The 12,003-nt window shown below is 40.4% G+C and overlaps 2 long non-coding RNA genes across 2 annotated transcripts in view; one reads left to right on the forward strand and one right to left on the reverse strand.

Annotated features, from left to right (window-relative positions):
• The window catches only part of LINC02389 (long intergenic non-protein coding RNA 2389), a 93,749-nt gene that overhangs the window by 27,141 nt on the left and 54,605 nt on the right, over positions 1-12,003 (forward strand). The window lies entirely within an intron of this gene.
• Positions 9,931-12,003, reverse strand: part of LINC02231 (long intergenic non-protein coding RNA 2231) — a 71,447-nt gene continuing 69,374 nt past the window's right edge. Inside the window, exon 4 of the long non-coding RNA NR_146276.1 lies at positions 9,931-10,156. This is a non-coding gene — a long non-coding RNA (long intergenic non-protein coding RNA 2231). The remainder of the gene's footprint in view (positions 10,157-12,003) is intronic.

Below are 12,003 nucleotides of genomic sequence, written 5' to 3' on the forward strand. Positions count from 1 at the left end.
TTTGCTCAAGTCCAAGAGTTTCTTTTCATTGTATTGTTTTAGCACATACACTAGTTAGTATCAGCTGGGAGTTGGGGCATTATTTCATTGATACATTGCCCCAAAATTTCTAGCATATTTACAGGTGAATAAGGGTTTGGCTTTTGGAAAACACAAAGAGTATGCAATTTAAGTCAACAATGACAGCAACAAAACAGTCTCCCTGAGACCCATTTCTGGGAATTTCTATCGTTGTGTAAAACTCGCTATGGTGCAAAGCTTTAAGTAAAAGCTGTTATTCTGCTCCTTGTCATAATGCATGAGCATTTCTGGCCAGAACAATTTGCTCTGAAGGACATGTATTGCATGCCAAGTAGAGAAATCACTCTTATCCCAGTGAGAGTGGATCTGAGAAGAAAGTTTTCATCTATCATTTCAAAGTCGTTTAGTAATTCACAAAGGCCATTCTGTAACATAATTGAGTTTCCATTTCTAAACAATGATATAATAACATAGTAGTTTGATCCAAAATTCTGTCCCAGAATGTCCCATTTCTTGGCAGTTATTTTAAATGGTGCAACTGAGCTTTATTGGATTTGGGGAATATTTCCCTTTCTCTATCCAGTGCTTTCTGAAGTTGTAATATTGCTTGATGAAAGGTGCCTTGTGAAAACACTGCCTTGTTTTATGAAAATATTATTCAACTTTTATGGTATAACTTTTCGCAGTATTTGCGTTAATATATTGATCTGGATATATCTAGAATTGTGTGATTTTAAAGCACAGTTTCTCTCTATATTTGTTATTATTTTTAACATCTCTAAAGATTGTTCCCAGTAGTCTTCTATATATCTTGTTTTTGTTATGTCTGATTCTAATTTTATCCAGGGACGGCTGTGGTTTGATGAGTTTAAATCACAGGAAGGACATGTGCCAAATTAAAGGCTTCTTGGTAATTTTTTGGGAGGATGCTGGGTATTTTTAACCCTCCCCTCTTACCAAGGAGAAATAGGTTTTTATAAGAATGTGTGTTTAAACATGTTTTTAAATGCATGACTTCTGAGGAAGTCTGAGAATGCTGCAAAGCAGGAAAGGGCTGGGGGATCACTGGCAAGGGAAACATAAAAATGAAATATTAATATGACCAGGCACTAGCTTCAAGGCATTTGTTCTCCAGAAAATAAATGATGCCACATTTCATTTTTTAAAGCTCGCTGTCTAACATAGTTGATATCTCTGTCTTCGTAGTTTAATTACAGGCCTAAGCAGTCACTGGAGAGGGAGGGCATCTGATCTTAGAATTGATTTTATTTATCGGTTGTGGTTGGGCTGGAGACCTCTGGGAAGCAGGCAGCTTCCAAGAATAGCAGATTTTAGGTGTTACTTACTTGCTTGACTCAAAGAACCGTTATTTCACTAGCATTCAGTAGCTGCCTGACTGTCCACAGGTGTAGCAGACTAAATGTCGTTATCCCTATGGGGAGTCTATCAAAAATTATCTGATTACACATAGAAAAAAATCCCCCAAATTAGAGTTGGGATGGGAAGTATGATTTGGTTAGCCAGCTGGGCTCCACAGCATATTAGAGCTGGAATCTTAATTTTAAGCAGAATAAGATATAAGGGGTCCAATATCTATTGAAATTATAAGCAACCTTTTGTGTGGCTGTGTACTTCTCTGGGGAAGCATGAATAGGCTTTATGAGATTCCCCCAAACAGCCACAACCTTGAAAAGTTGAGATCTCTTTCCAGGCAGATGAGTCAGTCTTCCCTCACTCTCCCATATAGGGTCTCTGCCAGGGAGGAATGCCAGCCCCAATGCGTACTGTGTTGATTTACTGAGAGCTTGAGTTGGAGAGCAGGAGCCACAATCTGATCCAAAGGCCAAGGCCAATGGTGTAAGTGGGTGAAGCGAGCCTGGGTGCAGGAGGGTGGCCAGAGACATGGATCCCCTTTCCAAAGGGAGCTGTCTTACCTTTTCCAGGGTGAGTTTTTGCCAAGCAGCAGTGCAGCCTACTTGCTGGATGTGTACATATCTCCCAGCATTTAAATGTCAGCAACTAATTCAAAATTTTGAAGAATACAGAACATACCCCACAAAAATGCTTATAGGCAGATTTGGCCAAGATCCTTTGGTTTGTCACTTTTCTGCCAGAGCAGCGGGTCCCATTGCAGGCAAAGTCAATTTCATAATGTATTTTTGGCCCCATTTTCATAGTGTATATTTGGTAACAGCTTCTTTTCTACTCCAAAATGAAATCTATACATAATGTAACTCACACATATAATCTTTTAAAAGTAAATATTTTGCCTTAACTGTAATACAAAGGAGAAGGAACAGGAAAGAAACTTGTAATAAATGTTTGTATTTTAACATGTAAATGCTCTAGTATGACTATATTAGAAGTTACAAAAGCCTGTATAAATCTCCAAAATGCTCCTTATGGGGCAGGATTGTCACCACTGAAAACCATGATGCTAGAGGCGACTTCCTCATCTAAATCCCATCTTGCTTCCTTAAAACTTTTCATTCATTAGTCTTGGCTCTGCCCTCTAGTGCCACATAGATCACATTTCATTTTGCCCTTATGGGGCAACTTTTCAAAAATAGGAAAAGAGTTTCTATCTCTCCCCTTAAGCCACTCACCCTTCTCATGCCCAGATCTTGTCTTCTCTGGCCAAGCCTTCCCAGTTCCTTCGACTATTCCTGACATAGTTCACCTTCTAACATCCTCTGTCATTCTGTTTTTCCTAAGTCTGGGTCCCTACCTCAGTCCTGAGTCCATCCTGCATGGTGGGATGTGTTTGAGCTGTCCTACACTTTCTTTCCTTACCCCCAACCAGGGGGCATTTATGGTCACCCGTGGGGGGATGCCTTAGATTGTGTGTTCCATGTGGCAGCCTTGGCCATTCTCCATGTCCCGGTGACTTAGGAGATGAAGCCCTTGTTCTGAGTGCTGGGCTGTGCCCTGAACATTCCATTATATTGAAGCAGCTCCAGTTGCCAGGTCTGACTGCATTTGCCCCATCGAATAAGCTCTAAGCTAATATTCTGACTTATGCAGTTAGCTGCAGCCACATCTCCTCATTTGCTGGCTCATTCAGCAGTTTCCTTTATTGCTTCCATCACCTTCTGAGTGCTGTTGTCCGTTCAACAGGTTAGCAGTTTTCCTAGTGTCCTGCTTTGCAGAGGAGGCCATTAGAGGAAGCCTGGGAAACTGATGAAATCAGTATTTTTTGCTCTTTTGTCCTAATGGGCTGTTTCCATCGTGCTCCACATCAACTACAGTGTGAAACTTGGCTGCCACTTTGAATCTACAACATGTTAAAACAACTTACTTAAGAATTCATGGGTTTAGCACAAAAATAGAGAGTAGAATGGTGGTTACTGGGGGCAGGGTGGGGTGGGGTGGGAGAAATGGGGACATGTGGGTCAAAGGATACAAACGTGCAGTTCTAAGATGAATAAGTTCCAGGATCTAATGTACAGCACAGTGACTATAGTTAATAATAATGTATCGTATACTTGAAGTTACCAAGGAGAGTTGGCCTTAAGTAATCTCCCCACAACAGAAATGTATGTGAGGTGATGGATATGTTAATTAGTTTGATGGTGGTCATCATTACATAATGTGCACATATATCAAAACATCATATTGTATGACTTGAAGGTTAATTGTAACAAGTTTTATTGTTAATTATACCTCAATAAATCTAAAAAAAAGCCCACAAAAATAAACAAAAAAATTCATGTGTAATTCATGAGTTTAGTTTTTTCTTTTTTTTGAACTGTAGTGTCAATAGGAGTTAACCACATTGCAGAATATGTAGGCTTTCAGCATCTCACTGACTTCTTCCTCGTCTGCACACTCCTTCCTCCTGGATTGCCCATGAAACTTCAAAGTACATTCCTTTTTGATGCAGAATAACTTCATTCTTATTTCTGGAGCTTTGGTCCTAGCCCCTCTATAGGACCTAACCAGGGGAGAGGGGTGAGGTAGGGAGAGAGGGGAGCATCTCACTGAGCACTCCAGTTTGGGTAAAATACTTTTTCAGAACGAAATACTTCCCTTCCTAAGAGAGGTGGTAATGCCAACTGTGAATTATAAAGGAAATAATTTTTAAAATTATAATTATAAAGAAAAGCATAACATTTTCTCTGTTCCAAATGCATTGCCATGCTTTATTCTATCCACCTATCTGGAATGACTACACATTTATTGTTTATTTGTGTATTATTCCCACATCGGTTTTTTGAGTGCCTGTTCCGTGCTAGGGAATGAGCTGAGGCCTGTGTATGTGGGATATGCAGGTCTGACGGAAAGGAACTGGCATTTTGGTAGCAGGCAGAAAAGTAAATAGACAAGTCAACCTAGCAAGGTTTGATGGCAGTGTCATTGGCTGTTATGGGTGCACAAAAGAGGACTATGGGATCTGGTCTTCAGAGATCAGGGGACCCTGGAAGACTGAGCTGATGTTGAAAGATGAGCAGGAGTTAGCCAGGTGAAGGAGGAGGGAAAGGGAGTGCCATGTAGATTGAGGAGCATGCGCAATGGATAACATGAGACCTGAAGAACATTTCAAAGGGAATCAGCCATAGGATCTGCTTGGGTGGCCTGCCGGGGATGATGGCAAAGGTGCATCCTGTGAAAGCCGAGCCCTTCTGACTGCACTTCTGCCTTGCAGGTAAAGGCCCATGAAGATTACTTGTGGCATTTCCTCAACAAAGCCTTAACCCTTGGTATCAAGAGCTTTACTTTTCTCATTTTCCCATTCAATTGCTATACTTCTGCTTCCTGCTGTCTTGGCAGTACACAAGGAAATGGAAACAATATGAATAGGTTCTTGTGAGATCTCATCTCTAAGTTAATGATAACCAGGACTTTGGGTTGTGGGTTTATCCCAGGTGGAGCTCCTCTATCATTCTCTTTTCTGATGACTTGAAGTTGAGTAGATCTAGGTTCCTATCTCAGTTCTACCATTTCCAGGTGTCTGACATTAGGCAAAATATTTAAGTCCTTTGAATATCAGTTTCCTTATCAATAAAATGAAGATAGGATAGTACCCATCTTACAGAGTTGTGATGATGTGAGCTAATGCTGGGTGCAGCAAAAGTATTCAGCAAAGTGGCTTTTGTCCTAGTCTGTATTGAGAATTTAAAATCCCACTCACTGAATAGAGAGATGGTGGCTATAGAATTTTGTGCCTATGTGGGGAAAAAATGGTTGAGAATTGAGTAAATGTGAGAGGGGATGAAGACAATCCTCTGGGAGACACTAGGTTTCACCCTCTCTTTTTATCGCTAAAATAAGAAAATAATAAAGGAAGTTGCCAGACCTGAGTGTCTTCCACTGCAAAATAAGGGTTGGATTAAGTGATGTTTTAAGACTATTTAAATCTTGTAGCACTTCATTCATTCTGGGTGTTGGAGTAATTGCTAATCAAGGGTTATCAGTTATAAAGGTACAGGACTTCTAAATTATGGTTATGTATTAGAGCCCCTAGGAAGCTTTGAAAAAATCCTGATGTGTGGGTTCCACTCCAGACATATAAAGTCAGAATCACTAGTGAGTGGTCACTGGACAAGGTGGGGCAGCCAGAGTTGAGGGTTACACTAGTGGCTAGAGTAGGAGTTTTGTCTTTGATTTCAGCTTACAGCATCATTTATAATGGTAAGTCACCAAAGTTGGAGAATTAAATGTCAACAGTTAATATTACAGCTCTTTTTGTTTGTTTAAAAACTTGTTTTTCTCCTTTAGTGAATAATTAAGCTTTTTAGAGATGTATATAATTGCTGGCCTTTGAATTTCCTCTACCAAAATATTCATAGCTTAAAGATGTATGTTGCCAATTATATTTTTAATTAGAATGGAAATGTGTTTAAAGCTCTTGCACAGAAATGTGTACTAAATCTGTTTTAGAGAAACTTACTTGTAAGGCTTTTTTTTTCTTTTTAGCCAATTCCAACTCAGGCTTTGGCCTCTATTCAAGAGAAGCCACTACAATGAAATATTTTCTGACACTGTGTGTAAATAGCTGTCCTGGATGTGTGTGTTCTTATTTATGTCAGAGTTCCTAAAAACTGCCACAAATAAAACCTGTTTTTTTTTTTTCAATGAAAAACATTCAAAATGGAAGAGGGAGGCATGTCATGTTGACCCAAAAATAGCATGAGCATAATGAGCCCAACATGGGAGAGGCTTTGAAGGCTCAAATCTTAATGGGAAATACTTGTGGATTTTACTTCACTATAATTGTAGGACAAAACATAATCGTATTTTAGCATGACAAATTCTTAATGTGTACTTATTGAACTTCAGTGTGTGGTCTGTTAAAAAGAATTTCATAGGAGACATTTCATAAATCTTATGTGCATATATATATATAATTTTTAGAGAGATAATAGCTATACAACTTGTTTAGTAGCTTGCTTTTTTCACTTATTAACCCGTTTATGCCTGAGGTTGCAAATTTTTGAATTTTTGCAATCAGACCTTGGTGATGAACTTGAGCAGTAGGATATAAATAACTCCCACATGCTTAGCATTCCAATAGTGGAAGACGAGGCATAAATGGCTACCATAAGATAGACATTCATCCTTATCCAAACCTGTAATCTCTGTCATCATTTTAATGACTGCATAATAGTTCTCATTATGGATATAGCAGAATTTATTTAACCAATCATTTATTTCTAGACATTTAGGTTGTTTCAAACTTCTCCTGTACTAAACAATGCTGCAATGAATATCCTTGTTCATATCTGTTCTTGTCTTTGTACAATAATTTTTAAGGATGAATTCATATAAGTGGAATTACTGGGTCAAGTAATGGTCATAATTTCAAGGATTTTGATACATATTACCAAATTATATTAAAAGCTGTATCAATTTACACTCCTACTGGAATAGTTATTTCTTTTTAACTTTTTAATTTTTAATTTTTATGGCTGCATAGTGGAACAGTTATTTCTTGTTCAGAAAATTCTTTTCAGCAATACAGGGTTGTCATCTGCAGAGTAATTTGAAATCCAAAGTAAAAATCTCCCCGTATAACTCAGCAAATAACTTCCAAATGCCCCAAGCTCATTCTGCAAGGTAAAATGCTAGAGGAAGCTAAACACATATTCAAGCAACAAGAGTGGAGGCCAGGGGGATGAAGAGGAGAAAGAGGTTGTTGACAATGAACTTAGAAGAAATCAGTACTTTTTACTTGCTCTTATCTTACCCAACCTCTGGAAAAAAATGAGCATCCTCCTTAAATTCCCAGTGGAATTTTAAGTGGGATTTCTAGTTTTCTCTTGTTTTTTGACATTTAGTTGGTCGAAAAGAAGGGAAAACTAGAAATTCTACTTAAAATTCCACCGGGTCTTATATTTGAGATTGGCAGCACTGAGGCATTCCAGATGGCTTTGTCCATTCTTTTGAACCTACCTTTTGATCTTATTTAAATTTCCTCCCCATTTCACCTGTTGTGGGTTTATTGCCTGGAAAACAAGCAGGTGAACATATTAGCTCCTTCTTAAGGCACCTCTAGACTACAGGAAATTTATGTTCAGGCCAGGAATCATATAACATGACTACATGCTCCACATTTATGGGCAAGTTAAGCAACAGGGAATTTTATACTGGGATTTATGACGCAAACTTGTAGCAGGCACATTGTGAGGTGGGAGGGAAATTTAAAGAAGGAAAAACTCTGCCAATAAGAGAGATTCAAATTCTTCAATTGATGGAAAAAACATGTGAGGATTTTATTCTGGAAGTTGCCTGTGAATTCACACAAGAGACAGGAAAACATAAATATTACAGCCGATCACTCCTCTTTCCCACATATATTAGTTTTCTTTCAGATGAAGTCATTTCTGTTTTCTGGTCAATCAGTGTACAGACCAGAATTATCTAAGAACATTTAACTAGATGCTTTAGCAACATTTATCCCCATTAATTCCAGGATAGAGGGAAGAAGAAAAGAGAAGCATGTGTTGAGTTGAGAGGGCAAGGCTTCTACATTCCCTAAAAAACTGACCTACACCTTGTGTATCCATCCTTATAGCCCATAAAAGCCAGCACAGAGGAGAGCACCAGCTGGAATCATTCAGTGAAGGCAATGGCTTTCAAAGACAGAGCTAGCGGCAGGTGGAATATAGATTAGGAGTCCTTTTATACTTCAAATAGTACTTGTTTTCAGTGTGAAGCAATGTGGTTCTCATATAGTCAATAAAGAGCAAATTCAGGGTATTTGCCCTTTGGCTAGTGAGGCTGATGACTTGTGGTAACTCCAGCATCACACCATCACCCGGGGAGTGCAGAGAACATTGGACTAAAATGCTGGAGGGTCTGGGTCCTGGCTTGGCAGAGCTGATTCTTCAGACTCATGCTGAGATCCATGGGCACACAGCGTAATGGCCAGGACAATTCTGAATGATTCTTGGGCTGCTGGTACAGTGGGTGCTTGGAAAATGGTTTCTCCAAGCTTGATTGGCTTTTCTCTGATCCTTATCATTTGGTCAGTGTCTTAGTCTGTTCAGGCTGCTATAACAACGTATCATAAACTGGGTGGTTTATAAACTTGTTTCCCACAGTTCTGGAGGCTGGGGAGTGGAAGATCAAGGTGCTGGCAGATTCATTGTCTAGTGAGGACTTACTTTCTGGTTCATACAAGGTAGTTTTTGCTGTGTGCTCACACGGTGGAAGGGGTGAGGGGTCTCTCTGGGGCGTCTTTTATAAGGGCATGAGTCACAGTCACCTCCCCAAATCCTCACCTCCTAATTACTGTCGACTTGGGGGTCAGGGTTTCAATATGTGAATTTTGAGGGGGCACATTCAGACCAGAGGAGTCAGCTATACTACATTGGGTGGACAGGCTATGTGTGATCCAGGGGAGTTTGAGTAAATGATCTCAGTTAGGAGTTACAGTTACTTGCCTAGAAGTTATAGTTATTCCCATTCTAAATGTAGATAGGTTTGGTGGGGGGAACGATAAAAGAGAAGGGTCTTGGGATTCTAGGAATGACCAACAAGAGTCCACTGCTGGGAAAGATCGGATCATATGCTCCCTGAGGGGAGGCTTTGCTGATTTTGTTCTTCACTCTTCTCCCAGTGGCACATAGTAGGAGCTTAATAAATATATCATGTTGCCCAAGACTAACAGGAATGGTGGGAAGTGACACCACTAGTTGTGACAATAGCAAAGCTTTAACGTTCTCCAAAGAGACTAGCTTACGGGTTTAGGAATATGCAAAATGGCCCCAATATTAATTTCTACTTTTCTTCCGCACATGCACTATGGGCTGGAATGGGCCAGGGGTTTGCTTGTTTAAGATTACTTGACACATTATTGCTGAGGAATACAAATTCAGAGCCCGGGCTTTGTTTCATACTCCTTGTTAAATACAAAATAAGGAGTCGGATCCTAACTGAAGAGGAAACGCATGTCATAGAGCAGTGGTTATCAGAAATGATCGTGTGTCAGTCTGAGTGTGAAACACAGATGGCTAGGCCCCAACCCCAGAGTTTCTGACCCAGTGGGTTTGGGGTAGGGCTGAGAAGGTGCAGTTCTAATAAGTTCCCAGGTGATGCTGATACAGCTCCTTTAAGACCAAACTTTGAGAGCCAATGGAAAAGAGGAAAACGCACTCATATTGGAATGAGACGAAGCTGGACTCCTATCTTAATTGCTATGTGATTTTGGTCAGGTCAACTTTGCTTAGCTTCAGCTTTCTCATCTGCAAAATGGTGATGATATCTACCTCATGAGGCTATTGTGCGGGTTAAATGAAGTAAAGTGAGTAACGGTGGCTGGTCCATGGTAGTCACTCACTCCAGTGATGTAAGATCTTCTTCCCTTACTCCTTTTGTGGGATACTCATACAATGCAAGGCTTGTTTAAGGATTAACATCTGTGTGAACTGAGCTTCTGCTGTATTAATTTCACATTGCCACTTATATATGTCCTGAGGTTTTTGCTTTTATTGAACATTTACTATGTGAATGGCATTGTGTGAAATAACTTTTACATTTTATATAACATTAGATATTATTCCTTTTTAACAGATGAGGATAGTAACTTGCATATGAGCCTACAGCTAGTAAGTGGCAGAGCTGAGTATTCAAACCAAGGTCCACTCCACACCAACACTCTTGACTTCTTTGTTATAATGGTTCCCATGATTCTCTGTGAACAGAAAATGTCAGATTATTATGTTGTTTTCTTTCCTTTTTTTTTTCTCTGAGATGGAGTTTCACTTTGTTGCCCAGGCTGGAGGGCAGTGGCGTGATCTCAGCTCACCACAACCCCTGCCACCTGGGTTTAAACAATTCTAGTGCCTCAGCCTCCCAAGTAGCTAGGATTACAGGTGCCCACCACCTCACCTGGCTATTGTATTTTTAGTAGAGCCGGGTTTCACCATGTTGCCCAGTCTGGTCTCGAACTCCTGACCTTAGGTGATCCACCCACCTTGGCCTCCCAAAGTGCTGGGATTATAGGTGTGAGCCATGGTGCCTGGCCTCATGTCCCTTTCTGTAATTAGTCACTCACATTGAGGAAACTAAGCAATTATCCTGAGAATGTGAACGAAAAGGTATGGGGATTTGTATGTATCTTTAAGTCAAGGACTCTGTTTTACTCATCTCACCATGCTATCTTGTGTGGAGAGGAGCTCTATATTTGTGAAATTAACAAATGAATGAAAAGCTCATATCAAATGACATCCTCACCTGCCTTAATAAGAGAAGAAAGAAAGATCCCTTGGAAGAGATCCAAGTGGGCTCCTGAAAGTCAAAGAGAGAAAAAGAAGGCAGCCAAAAAAAACAAAAAAACAAAAAAACAAAAGGCCTTTAACCTTGATCCTATGACTTTATAGGTTCCCTCTTTCCCATGATTCTTTCCTTAGGGTGGGCTTGCCTGGGCAGTGCTTTCCCTACCCTTTGCAATTGAGCACGAACAGCCTGTTTTGGGAGTTACACGCATGCCCATCTGAGGCTTTTTCAAGTGGCCTCTGCCCCTGGAACGTCATCCTTCGCCATTTTGTCTCTTAACACGCATGCCCAAGAAGCTGCTTCTCCCTGGGGTCTGCATTCAGTTAACACTTTTAGTGTTAACAGGTGTGGACCATCAAGAGCTTGTCTCTCCCTGGCTGCCGAATTATCATTTTTAGAGAGGCAATGTGATGATTGCCAAACCATCATCCTGCATTTCTAGTGGGTAGGGGGAAGAGCCCTCTCCTGCCTGCTCATGCCTAACTACCTGTAACAGATTCACACTCATGGTTTGATTTACTAGAATACTTTGGAAAAGCAAACCAGGAACCCCTTCTATATTAGGACCCTTTGTGAATACTCGCAGGCAAAGGCACATCAGGACCCATTTTGAACACTCGCAGGCAAAGTTACTTTCGGATGACCTTGAGCCCTTCCATACTTGAATCTCGTGCCCCCAGGGAAGTAGTCCTTAACCTCTTTTTTTTCAGTCAGTTGCTTACCCCATGATCCCTTACTTCTTCCATAAGAAAGGCCTAGCATTTCTTTTCTTTCAGAAAATAAAATTTCTCTGAGCAAGGAAGGCCACAGGGCTGGCCCGTCAGGGATGGAAGGGTGAAAACAGAAGGCTTATGTCAGGGCTCTGATTTGGCAATCATCTGGAAGATACATGTCAAATTGCCCACTCCTGCTCACTGGCATTCCTGAGGCAGAGTGACTGCCCCATGGGATTGGCTGAGAATAGCAATAAGGGTGTAGTACAGGCAGGTGGGTTACGAATGCTGACAAGGTGGTGGCTTTATGCTGTTTTTCTTATGTGCCCTGTAGGGCTCTGCTTCCTACCTTGGAGCAGACTCACTCTCAATATTTTTGTCCACACAGGTGTTCCAAGGACAAATTTTAGTTATGCCACAAGTATCTGAGAAAATAATGGAAAAAATTTTTCCAAAACCCAGCTATTTCCAATAAGTAACATTTAGTCAATAAGTACCAGTTAATTGTACCAGTTAATTACTCCACATGTCTGCTCTGAATGGTGGCACC

This window comes from Homo sapiens, chromosome 12 (genome assembly GCF_000001405.40).
Source record: "Homo sapiens chromosome 12, GRCh38.p14 Primary Assembly".
In the NCBI taxonomy this organism is placed as follows: domain Eukaryota; kingdom Metazoa; phylum Chordata; class Mammalia; order Primates; family Hominidae; genus Homo; species Homo sapiens.